Source organism: Homo sapiens, chromosome 16 (genome assembly GCF_000001405.40).
Source record: "Homo sapiens chromosome 16, GRCh38.p14 Primary Assembly".
Taxonomy (NCBI): domain Eukaryota; kingdom Metazoa; phylum Chordata; class Mammalia; order Primates; family Hominidae; genus Homo; species Homo sapiens.
In genome coordinates this window covers 73,689,745-73,715,966 of record NC_000016.10, presented here as the reverse complement: position 1 = coordinate 73,715,966, position 26,222 = coordinate 73,689,745, and the positions used below count along the sequence as shown (strand labels likewise).

At 41.3% G+C, this 26,222-nt stretch overlaps 1 protein-coding gene across 1 annotated transcript in view, besides 1 other annotated feature; it reads left to right on the top strand.

Moving 5' to 3' along the window:
• ZFHX3 (zinc finger homeobox 3) overlaps window positions 1–26,222 on the top strand; it is a 1,109,046-nt gene that overhangs the window by 175,964 nt on the left and 906,860 nt on the right. The gene's annotated exons all lie outside the window — the stretch shown is intronic.
• Window positions 1,483–1,777: an enhancer, noted in NCBI's record as "tiled region #9376; K562 Activating non-DNase unmatched - State 20:ReprD, and HepG2 Activating non-DNase unmatched - State 12:CtcfO". NCBI's record gives its function as "activates a minimal TATA promoter and a strong SV40 promoter by Sharpr-MPRA in K562 cells, with weaker activity in HepG2 cells {active_cell/tissue: K562 | HepG2}" and the evidence as "EXISTENCE:reporter gene assay evidence [ECO:0000049][PMID:27701403]".

The window sequence follows — 26,222 nt, the reverse complement described above, 5'->3', positions numbered from 1 at the left end:
GGTTGTTTAAAAAATTAAGATGTAGAGGAAATATGCTGTTAGAAAGACCACTGGATTTGGAGCCAGGAGACCTAGAGCTTTAAAGACTAGCTATGGGCCAGGCACAGTGGCTCATGCCTGTAATCCCAGCACTTTGGGAGCCTGAGGTGGGTGGATCACGACGTCAGGAGTTCAAGACCAGCCTGGCCAAGATGGTGAAACCCCGACTCAACTAAAAGTACAAAAAAATTAGCAGGGCATGGTGGCGGGCACCTGTAATCGCAGCTACTTGGGGGGCTGAGGCAGAGAATTGCTTGAACCCTGGAGGCAGAGGTTGCAGAGAGCCGAGATCGCACCATTGCATTCCAGCCTGGGCAACATAGCGAGACTCTGTCTCAAAAAAAAAAAAAAAAAAAAAAAAAAAAGACCAGCTGTGGTACTTGCTAACTTGATGATCATAAGTTTCGGCCTCAGTGTCTTCATCTATAAAATGGGATGGTGACACCTCCATAAGCTCTCTCACAGGTTGTGAGGAAGTTATATGAAAATCCATTGCCAGCATGAAGTTGTTATAAGGATGTAAATTATTGTTGGCATTAAAGAAGATACGCAAGTCTACGTCCGTGTGGTAATTGAATGAGACGGTCAACTGGGTCTGTTCATAGCCATACTATGCCAGCATGCTTGATTTCATTTGGATGCTCTTCACTTTGATGCTCTTCAGTGAGGTCAATTTCCTGTGGGGCATGAGGCTCTAAGAAACCTAGGTCTCAACCCATGTTGAGGTCAAGCAGGCACGTGATGGGAAATGAAACTGCAGGGATGCCGGCAGTCAGAATTTTAGCCGAGAACCATCATGTGACACAAGTACAATTTCTAGTCATCCAGCTTGACCCGAGCAGGCAGATTGGGAGCAGATGCTATATGCTCAAATGAGAGGTAGCTGCAACTTCATGGGGGTAGGGAGGGCAGAGAAAAAGGAAGCATTTTTAAAAGGCAATGAACGATTCTCAGAGAGAGAGAGACCCGGACTTTATCCGAGGAGATGAGACTCTAGCATAGTTTGCAGTTGCTTTGTTAACCTGTTTTTGTTTAAATGAGCGGGAGCAGGACTAATAGATTACCATGTGAGAGGAGCTGGTATGAATTTCTGAGCAGGAAAGTGAAAAGCAGCAAGGAACAGATGATGAGACAAAAGGGAGACTACACCAAGACTAAAGTTTTGGAAAGGAGGGGAAGTGGATATTTTGGAAAACATCAAAAATAATCGTAGTCTTCATGACCCAAGGAAACCACACAGTAATGGTGGAAAGCATGTTCTAGCTGATCAGGAAGTTGGGAATAGATGCTAACACACATGTTGAAATGTTAACACACACGTGCAGACGTCTCCATGCCATAAAGCATTTGAATACCCAGGCAGGAAGAGAATCGGGAGATGGGGTGATTCGGAGGACACTGGGCTGGATGGAGACTTGAGGACACAAATACCTTAGGAAGACATAAAGCTAGTGGAATCCTACCATGCTGCTAGGACTCCCAGATCTAGCCAGTCTCTGTAGAGAAAGCATCTGAAGTTGAGGCAAATGGAGTCCCCTAACCCGTGCTTGGGAATGGAGATGTGTCCTTTCCAAGGGAAATGTTGTCTGACATCTGCCCCCTGCTGGAAGCAGCTGCCTTGCTTCCTAAAGATGGGGGAGAGCGAACAATTGCAGGAAAAAAAAATTGACCTATTAAAGTCAATAAGCCCAGGATCCTAATGTATCCAACTGCATCTGAATAGCGTATGAAAATTACCAAAATTGTCTTTTAAAACCTACTGATGTGGGTCACCCAAGCAGCATGCTCCCAGTTGTTAATAATTAATACTGAGCATCCTAGGGAGGAATCACTGTGGATAATTGTAGCCAGTAAGTACGAGTCTGGCAGCCCAGTGTGCCGCGGGTCAGAAAAGGGCAGTGAGGAAGGGATCATACATCAAGCTGGTGCCAGCCGCTGGGTATCGGTGATCTGCTTCCTCTGGCTGTACTTATTCTTCTGATGCGAAAGCCTTCTAAACAAGGCTGTGAATTGGTTTTCATGCTCGCATTGACAGATTGGGAAAGCAGTTTGTTCTACCAAATTTAACAATGATATATCATTATCACAACTTTGGGGGAAATCTATAAAATCAATAAGTTTGTAGCCTGAACAGGATTTGTATCGCTCGCTTGCTGTGCTGGTGTCAAAGCGTGAGCATATGGATTGAGTCACAGCCTGAGATCAATGGAATTTGTGGACAGTAAGCTCAATAACAAGCCCTTCTGAAAAGAAATAGATGTAAAAAGCAAATTTACTAGAGTATAAAAAAAAAAAAAAAGCTAATATCTTTTCTGTGCCTGGCTGTAAAGTGCTGTTTGGCTGCCGTTGGCTGCGGGTACTTTGAAAGCTGTCTGGAGTATGTGCCTGCAATTCCGAATGCTGCTGCGCCAGCTTCATGCATTGCATGGACAGTTGGGTGCTTCTATTTGCAGGGTTTGTGCTAGGAAACTCGCCAAGAATAGGAGGAGGAGGAAAAATAGCCCTTTATATTATAAACTGAATAAAGAATAAAAACAGTCAGTGTGTCTGCTGGGGAAAGACCACGGTGGCTTTATTTACTTTGTGCTGGTAGGACTTGCTAATGGAGAAAAATAAAAAGGCATAATTAAATAGTTTAATGAATTCGCAGCTCTTTTGTTTGAGTGGGACGGGAATGCATGTTCCGGAGAGGCCTCACAAAAAGCTTGGCTGGTAGTGAGTTAAAAGTAGGAAATCAGTTCTTTGAAGGCATTTTTATACTTCATTATCCCAGCATGTAAAATGACTTGTACTAAACGATTGGGGATTTTATTTTTCACTCTCTCTCTCTTTCTCTCCTTTTTCTAAACAAAAGAGAGCATGGGGTGGCTGGTGTCTAATTCCACTCCAGGTTCCAGAGCTGGAGATCAGCCCATTACCAGGCTGGTGGGCCAGCTCCTGCATATGGGAAAGTCCAGGGCTCTGAGCAATGCGGAGCCCCCATCAGCAGACAGCCCACCCTGCAATGTACATAGGACCTCAAGCTAGCGCAAATGGCCTGTAGTCTCTCCAGCATGAGGCAAAGTTATTGCCTATTGCTGGGCCACAAACTGGGGTGTCCTTTATGTTGTGTTTTCTGGGCAGCCAAGATTATATATCCCCCCTCTTACGGTGAAAACAAAGAAATACCTAGGGTGAAGGAAGCTGATTTTGCAGAACACTGATGCTGATTCTCAGCCCTGACTTGGTTTCCTTTTGTACTGTGGAGAGAATATGCTCCACAGTACAAAAGAGGGCAAGTCCTTCAGGAAGGCCAGCTGCTTCCAGACATGGCCACCTGCCCTTGCTCTGGCCACCAGATTCCCATGCTCAAAGAAGCCAAATGGGCACTGAGAGGCTCATAAGAGGTAGGCATGTCCCTCCAAATCAAGAGTCACACAGGGCTTGTGCTCCCTGAGCAAACTGGGAGAAAATTACACCCGAGAAGGATAACTTTAGCCTGCAACCTGGGCAGGGGCTGGGGAAGGGTCAGAGATTTCAGAGGCCTGGGTTTGAATTGAGATGTTCCCTGATAACCCACTGAGGAGAAGGCCCCAAGGAGAGGACAGCCTTTGTCCCCAAGGAAGAAGGGCAGCTTGGACATCTGACGAGGAGGCAGGCAGAGCTTGGTGGCAGAGGGCAGCCTGGGATATCTCTGCCCAGGCACGGGCCTTCGTTTTTTTTTAAAACTGCAGCTGGTTTGTTGAGCACAAGCTCAACCTCACAAACTTGGTGGCGACAAAGCTGGGGAAAATAAGGCCCATGATGAACCGGGGGTTTTCTTAGGCTCAGGACCAGACCTCACCATTCCTCCCTCATCTCTCCATCCTCCGTATGAGCCACAGGTATAAAGAGAGCAGAATGGTTGTTTATTCAGTGACTCGATGATTTCAAGTGATTGATGCATTCCTGCTTTCTTTTGCTTCCCCTTCTTTCCTGCCTGGGCTGTTTGGGCTCAGGGTTTCCCAGAGAGTGTGGCCAGGGCCAGGGCCTCAAGGGCTGTAGGTGGGGCTGGAGGGCCCCTTTATAGATTTGCTGTGAGATCTCTTCCAGCCAGAGAGAGAGCTCTCTCCTGAGCCTCCTGTGGCAACACTTGGAAGGTAACAGGAAAACAGCCCAGCTGAGATGGCTCTAGGTGACACACCTAATCCATCTTTGGAGGGGAAAGGCCCTCTTGGGTCTGAAAATAATTATTGTTTCTTTCCATCAGCCTCTTATTTTTTCTCCTCTCTCTGTGTCTGCTGTACTTGCTTTCAGTTTTGCTTCCAAATCTAGAGGTGCAGTGTGATTTTCTGGCTGAGTGGTGTCTGCCTCAGTCATATATCTGCACCCCCACTTCAGAAGACTGCTTCTTGGTGACCCCTTGGCTCTGTCACCTCCAACATATGGAGTCAACTGCCAGCAGCGGGCCATTTCCATTCAGTGATTTTGCCAGATTCAGAGATTTGCATTTATAAAGTCTCTCTCTGCCTTATTTGCTTATAACAAGGCTCACTGTTCGTTTCTTGTTAAGTTTTATCTCATAAACAAATATTACTATGGGAGTCCCAGCCAATAATTATTAAATCCTGACTTCTTTTTATTTTCTTATACCGAGAATGCGTTGACTATAAATGCACAATTTAAACTTCACGGGATGGTTTTTTTTTGGCCCACCTCTCTGGAGAGTAGAGGGTCCATCTGTGTGTGGGGACTTGAAATATCAGACCCATATACATAAATATCAGACAGAGAGTGCATTTTGGGGAGAGGGAATGGATACAGTTAAACCCTTCAGTTAAATAAAACAACCCCCAAATGGACAAGGTCTGTGTTCTTTCGTCTTCTTTGATTTGGGTACTGAAAAGCATGAAAGAAATTCCTTTCACAATTAGCTCTAACTTTTGAATTACAGCACGTCTTTCCGTATAATGACCAGGCTGTGCAGTAATTTACAGCCAGTCCCTGGCCTTGCTGAGTAGCAGGGAAATGCTGTGGAAGTGACTGTTAATATTGATCAGTGAGGGCTAGAGAGAGTTGGAGACCCTCAGCACGGCCACTTAAAGTGGGCAGGAAACCCAAATTGACCAGTAATAAAGTGTGTGAGGTTGTACAAGGCGACTCCTGGGAAACTGCTGCTCCGAGAAGGGAGGCCGGGGGTCGAGGGGGAAGCTGTCAATTATTCTTGTTTGATGCCCAGTTACTGAGCAGGACACAGCGGCTGTGAGCCTGTGGCCAGAGACAACGGGAGGCAGGTGCTGGCGGATCCTGCTGGAAAGCCACCTTTGTCAGTGTGGGAAGCCAGGTGTGGGTCTCTCTCTACATTCCATGGAGGTTCAGAGAACTGAAGCTCACCCATTGCAGTGGCCTAGTTTTATTTTAGGGAAGGGGTAAAAACTCAAGCGGTGCAACCTCTCCCCGACTTCTGTGTGGACAACAGTTGATGACTGAACTTTGGTTTTGGTAATTACTGGAGTTACGGGTGCGAAAGAATAGAATCTGAGAAAGACAGATTTGGGGGTGAAAATTAGCTTCTGTTACAGGCTTTGGACATAGTTAAAAATGGGTAAGAGGGAGGCTGTGGCTTTTTCCTAAAACCTTTAAGTCTCATTTAAAGTGACCACATGATCGTTACCATTTACAGATCTTTAATAAGTATAACAGCTAAATGGGAGGCTCTGATTTAAATGCTTAATGCATCCATTCATTTATTTAATTTTTATTTCTTAATTGTTTTGTTTTGTTTTGTTTTTGAGACAGAGTTTTGCTCTTGTTGCCCAGGCTGGAGTGCAATGGCACAACTCACTGCAACGTCCACCTCCCAGGTTCAAGAAATTCTCCTGCCTCAGCCTCCCGAGTAGCTGGGATTATAGGCGCCCGCTACCACACCAGCCAATTTTTTTGTATTTTTAGTAGAGATGAGGCTTCACCATGTTGGCCAGACTGGTCTTGAATTCCTGACCTCAGGTGATCCACCCACCTTGGCCTCCCAAAGTGCTGGGATTACAGGCATGAGCCACCACGCCCGGCCAAAACCTATGTATTTATGATGTACAACTTGTTGTTTTAAAATATGTATACATCATCGAGTGGCTCCATTGACCTAATAACATAGGTGTTATTTTACATACTTACCATTTTTTCGTGTGGGGTGAGAACATTTAAAATCGACTCTTTTGGCAATTTTGTAGGATACAGTACATTGTTACTGTCTATAGTCATCATGTTGTACACTAGATCTCTTGAAGTTATTCTTCCTAACTGAAATTTTGTATCCTTTGACCCACATTGCCCTAAACCCTCACCCCCAACCCCCAGTAATCACCATTCTACTCTCTACTTCTATGAGTTTGACTTTTTTAGATTCCACATATAAGCGACATCATGTGTATTGTGTTTCTGTGCCTGGCTTATTTCACTCAGCATAATACCCTCCAGGTTCATCCACGTTGTTGCAAATGAGAGGGTTTCCTTCTTTTTTAAGGCTGGATAGTGTTCTGTCGTCTATATAGACCATTTCTCTTTTTTTCTTTTCTTTTTTTTTAAGAGACAGGATCTCTCTCTCTCTCTCTCTCTCTCTCTCTGTCACACAGCCTAGAGTGCAGTGGTGCAATCATAGCTCACTTTAACCTCCAACTCCTGAGCTCAAGTGATCCTCCCACCTCAGCCTCCAAAGTAGCTGAGACTACAGGTGCACCCCACTAGGCCTGGCTAATTTTTCTTTTCTGTAGTGATGAGGGTCTTGTGCAGGCTGGCATTTTCTTTCTTTCTTCATCTGCAGATGGACTCTTAGGATGATTTCATGTCTTGGCCATTGTGAATAATGCTGCAGTAGACATGGGAGTGTGTATTAACCCAAAACAACCTTGTGGAGATAGGTACCGAAGAAGGTCAGGAAATGACACCCCAAAATATGCCGCTTTACAGATCCTCCAAAGGAAAGTAATTGTCATGGATTCCCTCCCCAGGCACCTCATCAACGAGGGAAGATAAATACGTATCATGGGAGAGGAGACGGAAAGTGAGCGCCATGTCCAGGCAGACTTTGTTATGCTCTTTCTCCTATTCTTCCGAGAGCCCATTCATCTTTTCCCAGATTTCCTCTCCCCTAAGTTACCTACATCCCCCGCTCCTGTCCCCTACAAAGAGGATAAATAAGCTTCTAGATCTCACTGTGTTTAGGGGTATTCACTTTTTTTTTCTGTCCTGCCCCCATGCACATGATAAATCTGTATACCTCTTCTCCTATTCATCTGCCTGTTATGAGTTTATTTTATTGATTCAATTACAGAATTCTCAGAGGGTAGAGGAAAAATATTCCTTATTTCTTATTATAATTCCACTGAGGGAATGGAATGTGATAACAGTTCTGATGGTAATCCTACTACTTAGGAGAATGAACTAGAACATTCTTCTTGGGCCAAGACCAAGCTATAGATGAAGAGTTTGTGAGAAATATTTCTTTTACCCCCAGTAATTATTTCTGGAGTAATAGATTTCCTTTAATGAACCTGTGTCATACAACATCATTTGGGATTTATGTTATTAACCTTCCAATTCACTGAGTTTTTGTTGCTTTTGTTTTACATCAGCGGTGTATTCTTAATTGAGAAGTGAGTGATTTAGTTAAAGTGAATATTGAATAATCAACTAAAAATAGATGATTGTCATCAATTTAGTAAGATTAAAAGATCAAAAAGTATTGATAAAACGGAGACTTCAATGATTTCTCCAGTAATTCTACTTTCTGTGTCTTGCCATATGGTCACTCAAGGGTTGTTTGCTAAGTTACAAATCTCATGCACAACCATTTGGGAATTCTTCCAATAATTGTAAATACTTCCCCCCCCCACCACACCCAAATTATGAAACATTTCAAATGTACCACAAAAACCACAGGGATTAACATCTATCTCTACCACCCAGCTCTGCCAAATCTGAATATTTTGCCACAGTTGTTTCAGACCATTTTTTTCTATAATATAAAAAGTTTCAAGTCCATTGGAAATCTCCTGTGTGTGCCTCTTCAAGCTCTCAGTTCCTTCCTCCCCGCTCCTCCGTCTCCCAAGAATTAATCCTTCTTCTGAATCTGCTATTTATCATTCTCCACTTTTTTTTCTTGCCCATGTTTGCCACTTTAAATGGCATGTAGTTTTGTTTCTCCTGTTTTTTTTTTTAAATTTTATTATTATTATACTTTAAGTTTTAGGGTACATGTGCACAACGTGCAGGTTTGTCACATATGTACACATGTGCCATGTTGGTGTGCTGCACCCATTAACTTGTCATTTAGCATTAGGTATATCTCCTAATGCTATCCCTCCCCCCTCCCCCCACCCCACAATAGTCCCCGGTGTGTGATGTTCCCCTTCCTGTGTCCCTGTGTTCTCATTGTTCAGTTCCCACCTATGAGTGAGAACATGCGGTGCTTGGTTTTTTGTCCTTGAGATAGTTTGCTGAGAATGATGGTTTCCAGCTTCATCCATGTCCCTACTTAATGTTACATAAATGTTATCATAATCTAGGTCTCCATCCACAACTTGCTTTTTTCAGTCCTCATTACATTTTAAAAATATACCCATGTTGATATGTTTAAGACTTGAACTATGTAGTCTATTCTGAAGGCCTGTTTTCTAAGTAAATTTACCATCATTCCCTCAGACTATGGGTAGACATGTTTTGCTTGGCTCCAAGTAAAGGGGTTACCCTGGCTGGAGAGTGGTTTCAGCTTAAATCACAGGGAAAGAGCAAATACTGAGGAAGTTAGCCAGAAAGGGACTTGTAAAAATTGGCTGATGACTTCAAATAAGTTGAATTAAATATTTAAAAATCTTTGATGAATTCAAGACATAGTGAGTTATGTAATAAAGTATACTGGCTGCTCAATTAGCTTGTTAACTCCTAATTTAGTTTTATCCAGCTTCTTTGATTTAAAAACACAAAACATTGATTCAACAAATATTAAACTCCTACTGTGTGCAATACACTGCCAGGGCCCTAAAGGAGAAAGAAATCGTTAAAGTAAGAATAGCAGAAGACAAGTAACTCATGGAGCAGTCATAATAAGCAATGCAGAGGAGGCTGTGTGACAAAGCAGTTTGCTCATTGAAGCAGGGTTCTGGGTGGAGGGTGGGGGAACGGAAGATGATACACTGAAAAATTGGCATAGGAGATGGCTTTTGAAGGATGGGGAACTATGTTTCTCATAAAGAAAACATCTTTGGCAAAGACACAGAGGCAGAAAAGCTCTAGACTGTTATGGGACCAGCAAGTTTAGTTCATCAGATCTTCTGGGGCATGAAGGCGAATAGGTGGGAAGGGCTGTGATGAGAGATTGGGCTACACCACGGAGAGCCTTGAATATTATTTCAAGGTTTCTCCGCAGTAGCCCCTGTGATGCTCTTCAGGGCCATGGATGAAAGATGATTCCAGAAATGATCAGAAATGATTTTTCTCTTTTTTTTTTTTTTTTTTGAGATAGAGTTTCGCTCTTGTCACCCAGGCTGGAGTGCAGTGGTGCGATCTAGGCTCGCTGCAACCTTTCAAGTTCAAGTGATTCTCCTGCTTCAGCCTCCCGAGTAGCTGGGATTACAGGCGCCTGCCACGACACCCAGCTAATTTTTTGTATCTTTAGGAGAGATGGGGTTTCACCATGTTGGCCAGGTTGGTCTCAAACTCCTGACCTCAGGTGATCCACCCGCCTCAGCCTCCCAAAGTGCTGGGATTACAGATGTGAGCATCCACACCCAACAACGATTTCTTTCTTTTTTTCTAATTCTGTTTATTTTTGTAGAGATGAGGTCTTACTATGTTGTCCAGGCTGGTCTCAAACTCCTGGACTCAAGCGATCCTCCCACCTCAGCTTCCCAAAGTGCTGGGATTACAGGTGTGAGTCACTGTGTCCGGCCAACTCCAGAAATGATTTCTGGGTGGCTTAGAGGCAGAGGACACGAGAAGCTGTGAATCCACTCAGGAGGCCCTTACAAGAGTCTCTGTGAGGTATAACAAGAGTCGGACCATTACAGTGTCAGAGGAACTGTGGCAAAAAATTGAGAGGAACCTATCTGAGGCTGAATGTATAGGGCCATAAATTGGATATGGGTCCATGAGGGTTGGAAATCAGGGATTCTGAGGCAGGCTTACTAGGAAAACATTAATTCTTCAGCAAAAACAGGGAAGATAGAAAGAGTAATGATTTGTGGAGTGGAGAGAAGAGAGTGGATGGAATTGTTTGGATCACACTCAATGTTAAAGCACAGGGCAGGGCAACTCAGTGAGTATGGGTTTAGAACTTAATAAACGTGGAGGAAATGCATGTCTAGCTAAGGACTCAGTTGCTCCAGGTGAGAAGATGCAACACCACAGAAAACAATATGGAAATATTTCAAGGCCTTATAGGAAATATGGCCACTCAGGAATTGAAGGCAGTAGCAAATTCTGTTGGGGCTTATCCATTTCTTCTCGCCTTTGCAGCATCAGAGTATACTGGCCCAAGGTCCAATGGCCAGCTCCTGCTTTATCTGGCCTTTGGGGTTTACTTTGCTGCTCTCACCCTCTCACCCTGGACCAGAAGTGCCAGGGATTGAACCCCCGCATTGGGAGACTCCTGCAACCAGTGACTGAGGCGAATCTGTGTAATGATGGGTTGGAGCCAGCTCTTACTGGCTTGCATGCTCTGATTGCTACATTTTCAGGAATTTTGCATATTGGTTGCTAAACACGGCCATTATTAAACATTAAGTGACACACATTTATAATTAAATTATATTAAAAGCAAAGATAATAATCACTTTGTAATTATTTTACTACATTTTACTATTCTGTATGCTCTTGTCTTGAGGTTACGTCTTTTGTGAGTCGGAAATACTATTGAATGGTGTTTACACTTCTCTTCCCAACTCCATACTCAATGATGTTATGTTGCTGGGTTGAAATCAGCCATGGTGGGAGTATTTACACCATGGTCATTGGCAAATGCTACAAATCAGGGCTCCCTTGACCTCCTACTGGAGAACCCGTTGCCAGCACAATACTGAATCAGTAAATAAGTACTTGAGCTTCCTCACCTCTCAGGTGGGACAGCTTGGAGATGCAATTCTACACTGGCTCCCAGAGCTCCCTAGCAGGAGTGAAGTTCAGTTTCCTCTAGTGGTAACTGGCTTGATCACAAATCATTCTTGGCTATACCCCGGCTCCTCTGGCTCACTCTCCCACTTCCTTACCAGGAATTCTTGGATCATCCTAAAATAAACTACTTACAATTAAGTCCTTGTTCCTAGATCTGCTTCTGGAACAACCAAAATTAAGACAAATAATAAGAATGGTTCCTCTTTCTCTTAAGGGTAAATGACAAGGCAGGAACAACAGACATACGTGAGCCCATTGGTAGCAGTGTCTTATGTGCAGTACAGTGCGGCTGTCTGGGTAACATGCTGGAAATTAGCCAGCGAGTAGCTTCTCTCTATGAAGTGTTGCCATAATGACTTTAAAACGATTTAAAATGTCCAACCTCATTTTATTTTTTAATCTTGCATTTTCTTTCTTCTGTGTTTGAGGTGCTCTGTAAGAGCAATTTCTTGTTCATTCCCTGAAGAACAGTTGCATGGTGAACAAATGATGGTTCGTTCTTCAGGAACTATGACTTCTAATCCCTCCAACCTTACTGTTGCAGGGAGAAAGTCACTTAATAACGGTGGATGTTTATGTATTTATTTAATACTGGGATTCATGTGGTAGAAGTGACCAAAGAGTGCTCACTCTTTCAGTCTGGAATTGTTCAATCTGAAATTGTATAATTTCTGTTTACGGCCATACCACCCTGAACGTGCCCAATCTTGTCTGAAATTGCGTAATTTCCATTTCTTTGTGACTGCTACTAGGAGACAAATTTGTACGTAGTTCACATCTACAGATGTCTACACTTTGCAATCTGATGTTAACACTGCTAAGTAATTTGAAGTATAGGTGGGCGTGATGAGAGTTAGCCACACAGATAGAACTGGCTTGGTTGACAGGGCCCCCTAATGCCCTCTTTCACCTTGCTTTTTATTCCCCTACTTTTAACAAACTCAGCAGGCCTCGTTACGACTCGGATCCCTCAAAAACGTACCACAGTGAAGCAGAAAACTGTTAGTGCATCTTAAACCTGAAGATTGCCTGTCTGTGCTTTCCTATCCATCTACCTGTGTGTCCACCTTAATGTACTTCTGTTCAGTTATTGCAAAGTCCAGTCCAGTGTCTGCCAGGCACCTCCCGGGACTCTTAAATCTTTCTTACTCATGAAATGATTCAGGTAGGCACAGTCTACCGATCTCTGCACACTTCTTTATTACTGGTTCGTTATGGGTACCGTTTCATGACTCTCTCTGCTTGTGCTGTAGGAAATTATAGACCTTCATCCTATAAACCTTCCCCTTCCCACATCAATTTTTTTTTTTTGGCTTTCTCTTGCATTGTGGAATTCAATTCCTATTTGAACCAACCAAACCTATTTTTTAATATTATTGGCTAATTAATATATATCCTTTTAAAAATGACTCATTTTTTTCTTTAGGTGGGTTGTTATTTTTAATGATTGTTTTAATGGTAGTCATGGATGTCCCTGCCTAGGGAGGCCCTTTCTTTCTGTCCATAATGAGACATACCTCATTTGTACTGTCCTGAGATTTATGGAGGGATAAGGAGTGGGAGGGGGAGGCACCCTTCCAATTTATTACATCTTAAACGAACTGCTCCCAAAGCAAAAACAAAACAAAGCAAAACAAAAGAGGCAGGAAAGCAGCCTCTGCATTACTGTTTAGTTTGATGTTTATTGAGCTGCATAGGGGATTGCTGACTAGTCTAAGATTGGATGGCAAGAGGTATCATTCCATTTGAATCACTTTTTTGTTTTCTGTTTGCTCTCAGCTCTTTCTCCTCTTTCACTATCACCACCATCGCTATCATCGCTGCCTCTACTGAGCCATGGAAGTGTTCCTTCCATAATTATACCGACACCATTAGGTAGTTATGAGGTTCATTTCACCATCACTTGAATTTTTTGGTGGAAACAAGGTGAAAGGGGACTCTCTTTATTTCATACAGTTCGGCACAGTGGAATTAGCTCTTAGATACATGATCTCAAGAACATCTGTAATTTAAAAGAAACTCTTTGTCTTCCCCTCTTTTTGTATAGGTATTAGAAAATTCAATTGAATTTTCCACTGAAGTCCTACCTTATAATCATCTATGGGACCCAACCCCTGAATTCTGCGCTGTCTCATCTTTTCAGGCCACATATAACGAGGAATCCTCCACCAATCCCACAGACTTTTCACCTGTGCTGTGGCCAGCTCATTGTGGAGGGGCCGATAACTGCACAGGTGATATTTCGGGGCACTAATCTCATGCGATTTTTATTCCCCTTCATTTGGGCTTAAAGAGTATGTCAGTTTCGAGGAAGGTTCCACAAACCTACAGGGACCTGTTCTTTGCTCTTGTTTACCTGTCTGTGAATCCTGGAAGAAAACACCGCCACTCATCACAGTTCTGAAACACTGCTGGGGAGGTCAGGATTGTCTGCCGTGTGTCCCATCTGGGCTGTGCTGATGCTGCCAATCAAATGTCCCCACACCTGCAGCCCCCAGGCAGCCCCTTCTCTTTGCTGTGTCCTTACGTTTCAGCTCAGGACTTTTCTACTTGGTCACTTGGGTCTATCCTCCCCTTTTGCTATGGCAGTCTTTTGCCACCCAAATTCTCCCATAGTGAGTGTGAACGGGGAGGGTGGGGGGTGCGGTTGTTATTACCCATAGTACTAAAGCAGACTCTGAACTTAAAGAAATTGCTGCTCACGGCAACACTGCACTCTCCACCTCCTTGATTTGGGAAATGAGACATTTCATTTCTAACCATGGTTTGAAGACTATATAAATGCATTTCACACAGTACAAAACATCAGCTGTGTATAGATTCTAATATTTTTTCATTAAAAACCCTTTTGCTTCTCTTCTCCTTGCTTTTTTTACGGGTGCAGTGATAGAAATCGCCCACATACTTAAGATTTCTTCTGCTTTTTTTTTTATGACTCAAACTTCAGAATATTTTCAATATCTGCAACATTATCTTTTGAATAATAATTACCTCTTATATTAAATTATAAGACAGCAGGATTCAGGATTAGATCTCTCCATATTATTCTAGTGAAGGAAATTATGACAGGGGTCATTTTTTAGAATTATGTAGCAGGGTAAAAGGTCCCAGGCAGCATTAGAAGGCAAAGGCGTTTATAATTAAATTGTAATTTAGGCCAGTGATTTATCGTTTTCTCAATGAAAAATTTGGTGCTGCCAAGAGATCCTAAGAGGAACTTTAGTGAGATACAACTTAATGAAATAATAAAAAGAAAAATTATTCTGGAAGAGATTGTATTACAGTGGCAGAACAATTGCAGCCTGCCTTCTGTGGGCATTTTCATTATCAATCCTCTGTTTCATGATTTTCTAATTTAACTCTTATTTTCTTTTGAGGGTAAAACATGGTACAGGAATTTTGAGTTTTATGTCTAGGACATTTTTGAAGACTTTAAACAATATAATTAAAATCTTTTGTTTGTGTTGTTAATGTTTGCAAATACATTTAGAAACATTTGCCAGTTTGCTTAAAAGCTACTGAAATTGAAGGAATACTGTCTTATAATAACAATAACGACAAGAAAACCAACATCACTTGATTTATTTATTTTCAAATAACAGATGACTTTGTTTTGCTTATTTATTGTCGAGGCTTATGCTCATGAAGGTGGACCTCTGGTATTTGTTCATTATTTTCCTTTCCATTTAAACTTCTGCATCTCCCTTGGGTGTAGTATGGGATCTGATCTATATGAACACACAAACCAGAAGAGAAGCTGCAGAATAAAACTCGTTATTCTGTTGTGAAATAAATAAGGGCAAGTTTAAAAGAACAGAGTCCTTTGCTTAAAAAAAAGACCTTTCACAAGCTTTTGGTATGAAATCAGCAATTTTAGAAAACTAATTTTGACCAAAGATGTTGCTCACAATAAGGCCAATTCAGCTGGTGTTTTGAGGAGAGAGATTAAACATTTGAGTTACTAAAAAAATAAAAGTACATCTTGCACTTGTGATGTGATCCTTACATGTATTGGAATTCAAATTGTTTACTTATTGTTACATTTTAATTATTTCCCTAGAACCTTGATTGCTTTAATAAGCTTAGTGGTATTTCTTTAAAAATAATCACGCTAATAAACTTTTAATGGCATGTGTTTTAAATAATTGATTGAAAATGGTTTAAATATCTGTTTATCCAATAGTCTGTAATAGCTTCTTCACTAAACACCTAATCTATTGGGTAAATAATGTGTGTTTCAGAAAATCTACTGTGAATTTACATAATAGACTTTAGGTGTATTAAGAAAATAACATGTATTCTACAAATCCTTTAAATATATTTTCTTTAATAGCAGAAATTGTTGCCATTCATTAAGTAACACACGCTTGAGGAATTATCTAAATTTATAATTGTATGAAAGATCATCGTGTCTTGCAAAGCCCTATTAAGGTTTGTAAGTCTCTGATTACTTAGTAAGTTTTGTCTTTTTTACTTCTTAAAATCTGTCTGGCAGGCTTTGGGATCTAATTTAGGTGAGAACAGGATTCTCAGTAACATCAACTTTTTAGAAGAAAGGAATTTTCTTTTCTTTTTTTTTGAGACAGAGTCTCCCTCTCTCTGTTTCCCAGGTTGGAGTGTGTGGCGTGATCACAGCTCACTGCAGCCTTGATTTCCCAGCTCAAGTGATCCTCCCACATCGGCCTTTCACGTAGCTGAGACCATAAGTGTGTGCTATAATGTCTAGCTAATTTTTAACTTTTTTGTAGAGAGAGGGTCTCACTATGTCACCCAGGCTGGTCTTGAACTCCTGGGCTTAAGTGATCTCCTGCCTTGGCCTCCCAAAGTCCTGGGATTACAGGTATGAGCCACTGCACCCAGCCAGGAATGCTTTTTAATGTTCAGTATATGCCATGTAACAATATCCTTGTTATCATTTTAATATGAACCCCAAATTTCTCATCCTGTGGTCTTTTTCTGTCTCCCAAACTTGAGGCAGACTGGAACTGTTACGGTGGCCCTACATTGTTGTACAGGCAGGGTCACTGGTGTGTAAAAGTACAAGTAAGAGGTACCACCTGGGGAACTATCAGTTAAAACAAGTGATTTAACTGTTTCTCATCTGTGAAAATAGGAATAATAACAGTGTCAGCTTCATAGGGTTGTTGAGCAGATTAAATGAATTAATACACTTACAATGGCATTTGGGAGAGTAAGTACTTAATAAATGCTAGCTAGTGTGTTTGTTTTCTTAAATACAGAATATGACTGTTTTCCCTGGATAGATATTGACAGAAATTTTTAATTAAAGTCGTGTAACAAAAAACTTGGCGATCTAAATTTTGCCCTATATGAAAAGCTTTTCAAAGTAAAAACAATAGAGAAACACACACCACTGGGGACATGACTGAGACAGACAGGCAGTCCACAAAACACTGGTCTTTTATTTTTGGGAAATATGTTCATCTGTCATTTTATATTCAATTTTATATCTATTTTTTTCTTTTTATTTTCAAATAATTTCAGACTTAGAGAAAAGTTGTAACGTAGCAGAGAGAGTTTCCTTACACACCCCCACTATCAGCTTCCTCTCGATATCTTGCATAATTGTGGTAAATTGCCAAAACTAAGAAATTGACATTGATACAATACAATTAACTGAACTTAAAACCGTACTTGATTGGGAGGCCAAGGTGGGCGGATCACGAAGTCAGGAGACTGAGACCATCCTGGTCAACGTGGTGAAACCTTGTCTCTACTAAAAATTCAGCAATTAGTCAGGCGTGGTAGCGGGCGCCTATAATCTCAGCTACTTGGGAGGCTGAGGCAGGAGAATTGCTTGAACCCGGGAGGTGGAGGTTGCAGTAAGCCGAGATCACGCCACTGCACTCCAGCCTGGCTACAGAGGAAGACCCCATCTCAGAAAAACAAACAAACAAACAAACAAACAAACAAACAAAAATAAAACTGTATTTGAATTGCATTGGTTTTTTCCACTAATATCCAGAACCCAGTGCAGGACCCTACGTTGCATTAAGTTGTCGTGACTCCTTAGTCTCCTTAGTCTCCTTCTATCTGTGACATTTCCTCAGGCCTTAACTTCCATGACCTTGACAGTTTCAATGAGTACTGATTGGTTACTTTGTAGAATGCCTCCTCAACTTGGATTCTTCCAGTGTTTACCCATGATTACATTGAGGTAATATAATTTTGGCAGGAATACCCTGGAGGTGATGCGCCTTCTTAGCCTATCATATGATGAGGTGTGTGACAGCAATATGTCTTATTACTGACGACGTTATCTTGGTTTCTTGGTTAAGATGGTAACTATTGGGTTTCTTCCTTGCAAAGTTACTAATTTTCCCTTGGTGATATCAAATATTATGAGTTCTTGAGACTCAAATGTTCACCCACCGATATTAGCATCCATAAGTGGGCCTTACCTCTAACAATTCTTACTATGGTGTTCTAATGGTAATTTTCTATTTCTCTTATTTCTTCCACATTAAGTAATTGGAATTCTTCTGAAAATAAGAGCTATCTTTTCTCTTCCATTTTTTATTTATTCAGTTATTAATTTATACCAATATGAATTCATGGAGGTTTATTTTGTTCTATAGATACTATTAATTTTTTTTTCTCAAATTGTTCCAGTTTCGGCCATTGGGAATTGTACCATAACCATGGTACAATTACCAAAACTAAGAAATTGACATTGATACCATGCAATTAACTAAACTTAAAACTTTATCATTTCCTATGTTTTTTTTTGATATGGCTCTTCCTCTTTTTGAGTTGTCTCTTATGCTGTGGCACTACAAAGATACCCCACACTCACCTTGGATTTAAGGAGCCCTGGTTCCTTTCATTGGATAAATGATTTTGTAGAAAACAAAATCTGGGTGGGCTCTAGGTGTGTTCACTACAGTAGTGCCATTGCTTATAGGCCGTTTCCACAAACAGAGCTTGGAAATAAACATACGTTTTCCAGCCCATGCATACAACCATACCAGTATTTGTTTATAGATTCATAAATGATTTAGAATTGTTTCTATTTTTTTTTTTGTGACCACAGAATAAAAGTGGTGAAACATTTTTAAGAAGACAATTAGTAGGTAGACAAATAAAGCAGAAATATTTTAAAACTGGAATTTAGCACATATCCAGGTCAGGACTGTGAACTTAATGTAGAATTTTAAGCCAAGTCTTGATTCTTGGGTATATGAAACAAAAACAAGAACTTCCTCACTGTATTTGCATATCAATGACTTGGAGACCTGGGGATGACTCACCTTGAATTTCATTGTCAGGTATATAGCAACTTGGGAACAATGTTGAATCAGTGATTTATCCAGTAAAAATGTAATTAATAATTGGGAAGATATTTTAATAATTGAGTGACAGGTCAATATATGTGCTAAATGAAACAGTCTGCATCTGTGTTTTGAAACTGTGATTCATTTGTCTTTATACCTGAATTTATGACAAAACTCTTTATTTTCAAAAACTTTGTCCATTCTAAATACTTTAAACACCTTATATGTGTCGTGACACTCACATGATCTCTACTTTCCAGATTGTTTACTATTGCTAAAAAAAAAAAAAAAGAGGTTAGAATTCATGATAGATGTTTTCCTAATGCCATGGAATCATTTGTCTTGAAATAAACCAGAAATAAGTGATATCAGAATTGGTCTTTCTAAGAGCTAGTTCACTTAAAATATTTTTTCCATTCTGCATTTCTATAATTTCTCCAACAAAAAAATTTATAAATAACTGCCACATTTTCTCTTTTTTCTACATTTTCCCCTTTCTTTTCTAAATTAACTATCGTGTCCCTTTTTGATGGTCTGTAAGCAAACAGATGCTATTAGAATTAATTGCTACATGCTAGATAAAATGCTCACTATTGATTGTTATATAATTTAAGCTTGGAGTTCATCAACACTTTATTTCTACCTCACAACCTATGTTTAAATAGCCTCTTCACTTTCCAGAAGTCTCAGGGAAGACTAAAGATATGAAAGCCACAGCCAAGCAGATGGAATGGAAGTTAAGGAAGGATTTTTGTGTGGGGATTGCTGTGGAAGAAGGAAAAGGGCTAGAGAATAAATCAGACTGCCACTTACCAGGGTCACAAATCTGCTGGCTTTGACGGGGCTGACATTACATACAAACCCACACAAGGGAAAGCAATGAATTTGGAGCTGAGCAACATGCCACTTTCAGGCCCTGTTGGTGCATCTTCACCTCCAAATTGTATGAAGAGCTTTCTAGGCTGAATGGTTGTGAGTTAGAGATAGCTTAATATATCTTTTATGTATGGCTCTTTGGTTCAGAATCATGACCCAACCCAACACACTGTTTCCTTGGCTCAAGGTTATCCCAACAGTCTACACAAAAGTGTATGTGTCACAGTGCCAGCTTCAGGATGAGTCTGTAGGTATGACTCTTATATCCACCTCTTTACTACTTGAAAGCAATCTTAGTTACTGTGGCAGACCCTGACGGTGTTCTGCCCATATCTTATGGGGAACTCACCTCTCTATACTTAAGGCTGCTCATTACTAACTCTCTGCCTGACTTGTTCGTTTTTGTTTGTTTGTTTCTGGCTGCAGGTCCTTGGCCAGCATAGGACAAACCTGAATTAGCAGAGGGTTGATGCCACTGAAAGCCCTCAACCAATGACAAATGAAGGTTTAGTGGATACACCCTACCTCTGCCCTTGGCTGGAATTACTCTGGGCCATGTAATATTTCATCTCTCAGAGTCCCCAGTGGGTTTGAGCTGCAATTTCCCTCTTACTCTCTTTTGTGGAGAACCCAAATTATAGTCAGGACAAGTCTAAGTTATCTCTTGGCATAAGACAGTTTCCACCTCCCTTACCCCCTCTCCTTTGTTGCTCCTACATCTGCTTTGTTCTTTGGGCCCCTTACGCAGCTGAGTCCTTCTTGCCGAGCCTGGGTGTGAGTGGGAGAGAAGGCAGTGGAGATACTGAGACAAATGGGTACCCTAGAGTCAGACAGGGAAGAGGGATCAGGCACTTCCTGAGCACCTGCTGTGAGCCAGGCACTGCCCTGTATTCGGAGCTTCACAAAGGCCATCTTATCGCATTCTCTTGGCAGCCCTGGGAGGAAAGGGCGAATTATCCCTGTTTTGGAAATGAAAGAAGCTGAAATGACAAAGCTGCTAATAAATGGAACTAGGTTTGGAGCCTAAACGTATACCCTTTTCTCCCTGTTCTTTTCCTTTTCTAGAGAAAGACCTGGACTCAACGCCAGAAAACCTCACTTTGAATCCCAGACCTTCTGTTGACTAGTTCTGTGGTCTTGGGCAAGCAGTTTGATTTCTTCAAAGCTGTTTCTTCATCTATCAAGTGGGAAATGACAAATGAGAGGAGATTATTATCATAAAACATTTTATTTAGTCTCAGCCAGCTGGGTGCCTATAATCTCAGCTACTTGGGAGGCTGAGGCAGGAGAATTGCTTGAACCCGGGGAGGTGGAGGTTGCAGTGAGCTGAGATCGCGCCACTGCACTCCAGCCTGGCTACAGAGGAAGACCCCATCTCAAAAAAAAAAAACAAAAAAAAACTGTATTTGAATTACATTTTCTGCAATTTTTAAGCAAAGAAAAAAATAGTATAGATATATTTGGCTAAAAGGGCTCTTGAAAAATATTTACTGACTGGCACCACCCCATCGGGGTATAGGAGGAGTGGCTTACCCTTAAATATACAGCTCTTTTGTAATCCCTTGTGTAAATAGGTCTGCAATAAGGAGGCAGCGCTGTGCCTCTGAGCAAGTTACCCTCGCCTGGCTTGGAGTTAGCCACACCGTGGCTCTCAACTGCCTCAGCTTAGTGGAGTACTTGGCTTTTGGAGTTCTTGAGTCAATCATGGCTGTTTTTTCCATTGGTCGGTAAATGGTTTAATCATCATGTGGCCTTTTGCTTCATATTTGTCACTGTCAGGTTGACTTTGTATTTTGGAGAGCTTCCAGCATTCGTTACCATAATGAAAAAGGAGAGAGATGCGGTGAAGAGCAGGCCCATGGCCATTGAGAGACATTCATATTCTCAACACAAAAACTTAGAAAAATGCACAGAGGGGCCATTCTTGCTATCCACTGTTACCTGTTCAACTAAAAGAAACTGAAAACACATGTTTTTTAATAAAAATTTTTGGCCAGGCACAGTGGCTCACGCCTGTAATCCCAGCACTTTGGGAGGCCGAGGCGGATGGATCACGAGGTCGGGAGTTCAAGACCAGCCTGGCCAATATGGTGAAACCACGTCTCTACTAAAAATACAAAAATTAGCCAGGCATGGTGACATGCGTCTGTAGCCCCAGCTACTCAGGAGGGTGAGGCAGAAGAATTGCTTGAGCTCGGGAGGTGGACGTTGTAGTAAGCCGATATCGCACCACTGAACTCCAGCCTGGGCGACAGAGCAAGACTCCATCTCAAAAAAATAAATAAAAATAAAATAAAATAAAATAAAATTTTGAGATAGCCTCGCTCTGCTGCCCAGGCTGGAATGCAGTGGTGTGATCTTGGCTCACTGCAACCTCTGCCTCCCCAGTTCAAGCGATTCTCCTGCCTCAGCCTCCCCAGTAGCTGGGACTACAGACATGAGCCACCACGCCTGGCTAATTTTTATATTTTTGGTAGAGATGGGGTTTCACCATGCTGGCCAGGCTGGTCTTGAACTCCTGACCTCAAGTGATTTGCCTGCCTTGGCCTCCCAAGGTGCTGGGATTACAGGCATGAGCCACTGTGCCTAGCAATTTTTTTTTTTTTTTAGCTAAAACGAAACACCCCATCATGTTTATTTGAGTCAGCAGAGTTGGAGACAACTTTGTCCAGAATTGGACCATAAAACTGACAGGCTTGAGAGCAGAGCTTATTTTGGTACTAGTTCTTGAATAGTTTTGTTTCTTCTTACCCCGAGAGCCATTTGTAGGTGTTTGATAATCCATCATGAGATGTGGAAACGCACAGGTTACTTTCTTTAGCAGTTGTAAGGCAGGCAAAGGATTTCGAAGTAAATCTTGTAAATGGAAGGTGGATATTTTATTTTGTGTAATGTAATTGAAATCCTAACTGAAGGGAGGGACTGTTTACATTGATTTGGAGGGCTTTCCTTTATGGTACTCTAAGAACCCGAGTTTGTGCTTATGAGACAGAGGCCAGTGCTAAGCCCTTCTTTTCTCTCGTTCCCGTGGCCTTTATGTAGCGGAAAGAACCCAACTTTCCTCTTATCCTTCATGAAAGCGCAGGACATAGATTGGTCTATATTCTCACTTGTCACTTTCTTGCCTGCCGCGGTGCTGGGAGCTATCCGGGAACACTTCTCGGTGCAGCTCAAACGCAAATGTCTTGAATGTCTTGAGAAGCCCTAATCCAAAGTGAATCTTCTATAAATAATAAACAGCAAACAGGCTCCATTTAGTTATATTAACCCTCAAATAGGTCAGGCGCATTGTTTAAAAATGCAAACATCACAATAAAACAGATTCCCCAGATGCAGAGTTTGATGTGTATGTGCAAATTTTCTGGACATGGTACTGGAAAAAATAGCCCACACCTATATTTGCTACTTAAAATATTTATATATTATCTCTGAAAAGTGCTACTTTTGAAATGCTATTTATTATAAGCTGATGAAGCCCAAGGGCTCTCTGTCCTTGTATAAGTCCTTCTTGTTTTTCCTGATTGCCAAGTAGTTACTGCTAACTTTACTTTTAGAGACCTGTGGTGTCCCCTAGAGAGTCATAGCTGCTGCCAAGTTTTTCGTAATTTCTTGTTGAACAACTTGGCATTCATCTGCGATCCTATTTTGTTTCTTCAATGGGTCTAATTTCATTGTTAAGAATCTTATTGTTTGCCAGCCAAAATAAAATGGTATAGTTCAAAACTATTTATAAAATTTAAAACATTTGTTTCATTCGGAGCTCTGGTGGCTCCTCTTTCTGCCTTGATTGGATGTTAACTTTGTTTCTTTCATGCCAGGAATAATTAGACGATTAAGTGTCAATGCTCTAGAAATGAGATGGCATATTTTCACTGAAACTCTCACCTACAAAAATACCTACTTTAATTCACGTTCCCCCTTAGAATTGGATGGGTAAATTGTTCCATCGTGAACTCTAACGTATCGATCCCAAAGTATTTGCACTTGGGCAAAGATGCGACACCATAATTCAGTTGAGAAATGGCAGTAATTTCTTTTTCCTAGGGAAGAGTAATTCTTGCAGTTAAAAATATACAGAGGCAACCTTTGTTACTGTGTTGGAATCTCTTGGCTCTTTAAAAATAGTTACCTCCTTTAATTCTTCCTTTAATTCCCTCCCTTCTCTCTAGGAATGCCATAGTTAAGAAATAAAATAGAAGCCCAGTGTCATTGGCATCTGGCTGTACATCTGGGTGTATTCGTTTATATAAAAAGGGTGTTAAACACCTCCTGGCCTGGTCCTTGGGTTCTCTTCTGTAGCTCCCCATCTGAAGATTGTACTGATTTCACATTACAAATGAAACTCTTAGAGTTTCATTCAGGAGAGACTTCCTACCTCCTGTCCACACTTTTGCCCTCCTACGCACTATCATTTCCACCTCAATCTATTTATTAGAAGTGTCACTAAGTCCAGGACAGAATCAAGGAGAGGAGAATTAAGGTCCGCTTCTTGAAGAGAGGAATATCGAATAATCTGTGGACGTATTTTCAAACCACCAGAATCCTGGAGGAGGATTTCAGACAAAGCAGTGACATTGATCTGCAACAGGAAAAGGTCAATCTGAAAACAGGGTTCATGGTGTGCTGATGTAGGGAGAGGCTGAGTTATTTGATGATAATCTCTTTTACCTTCTAAATTTGAAACCCTATGAAGTCAACAGCAATATTACCATTGATGTCCCCCAGCTCTTCAGATCTTTCGCATAGAGGAGGTGCTCCTTAAACATTTTTAGAAGGACTGAATCAATGAATCAGTATCTCAATAAATTTTAAAAATTAATGAAGAACAAGTGACTACCTTATATAACTTGAAAGACAGCATGCTGAAATATTGTAGAAGATGCTTTCTGGAATCATATTGTCTGGGTTCAAATTCAGGCCCCACCATATATACTGGGTGTTTTTCTTGGGAAGTTACTTAATCTCTGTAAGCCTGATGTAAAATGGGAATATTTATAGAATCTATCCCATGGAGTTGTTGTAAAGATTATATGATATCGATTATCGGGTACAATATTTGATATATGATAAACAATAAATGTTAGCTGTTATTACAACTATTTTGAATACGGAAGTTCTCCAGCTATAAACATGGTAGAGCCAGGATTTAAATCCATATTTGTCTTATTCTAAATAAAGCCGATGGTCCCACCTTCTGTTCCTTCAAGGTTGGAGATAATATTACTCTTTCATGGACAGCAGTGTTGAAGCTCTTTGAGTTCCTTCAGTCAATATTTTGATAGCAGTACTATAATCTTGTTTTTTTCTTTTTGCCAAATCTTAAGCTTTTTATTCCGTTGTAGAGGAAGAGTGTGCGGCTTCTGGAGGTTTGCTGATTTAGAAGATTTTTTTAGGCTAGTTCCTAGAAAATGGTAGAAAATAATACCACCAGGACTGTCTTTAGAAAACACTTGTTTTGATTGGCGAACTTATATAACAAGAATAGCGGCAGCAGCAAGAGCTCACTCCAATTTGTTGTTAATAACCAAGAGACCCTGTGTAATCTATGTTGATGAGCTAGAGAGAAATGTTTAATTGCTTATGGACAACAGTTCCTTTTGTCCTTTTACTTTTACAGTGTCCAGTCTTATGCAGGTGGAAAAATTGGTCTGTGTGTCTCTTATCTGTTGATGAATAACAAACTACTCCAAACCATAGAGGCTCAAAACAATCACCCTTTAATTTGTTCACCAGATTTGGGCTGGAATTGTCTGGGCAGTGCTATTGGTATCAGCTGGGGCTGGATGGGTGGAGTGCGAGCAGATGGTGTAAGGTAACCTCCCTCATTTGTCTGGCACTAGGGATGGCTGTTGGCTGGGCCACTTGTCTTCCAGTATTTAGCAGGGCTTATTCACATCAAGTCTTCAGGATTCCCACAGCAGCCAAAAGAGGAAAACTCACAATGCACAATTTATTTTCAAGCTTCGAATTGCATCACGTTTGCTAAAGTAAGTTGCATGGTCATGCCCAGATTCAAGGGGTGAAGAAATAGACACTACTTCTTGATCAGGAAGCTGCAGAGTCACATTGCAAAGGGAGTGCATGAAGGGATGGGAGGAAACTTTGCAGCAGTCTTTGTAAACAATTGCCACAGTGTGAAAGATAGTTTCAAGTTCATGTTTGCAAGGTGTAAAGCAATTCCTTGAAAAGTTTTTGAGGAGTGTGCAGCTCAGGATTGCATGTGGCCCAAAATTGATTTGAAATTTTCTTCTTACCTAGCTGCTTCAAGCAGATTCCTAGGGGACCATACCATGTTAGCTGGTAATCACAGAAGCCTGAATGCATAGGCCCCGTACATGGATGCTAAGATACGAACAGATCTGAGTCTGCAAATCTAGTTTGGGATTCTTGGGATGGATGTAAAACCTTGTTTGTGCTTCTTAAATAGTGTATGTCCACGTGTAATCCCAGCACTTTGGGAGGCCGAGGTGGGAGGATTGTCTGAGGTCAGGAGTTCGAGATCAGTCTGGCCAACATGGTGAAACCCCATCTCTACTAAAAGTACAAAAAAATTAGCCAGACGTGTGGTGTGCACCTGTAATCCCAGCTACTCAGGAGGCTGAGGCAGGGCAATTGCTTAAACCAGGGAGGTGGAGGTTGCGGTGAGCCGAGATCGCGCCACTGCACTCCAGCCTGGGTGATGCTACTCAGGAGGCTGAGGCAAGAGAGTTGCTTGAACCTGGGAGGCGGAGGTTGCAGTGAGCGTGCACCACTGCACTCCAGCCTGGGCGACAGAGCGAGACTCCATCTCAAAAAAACAACAACAACAAAAAAAACAAAAAACAAAAAACTGTATGTCCTCAGAGCTGGGTAAGCTTTGCTAATGAAACCTGATAGTCGTGTTTTCCA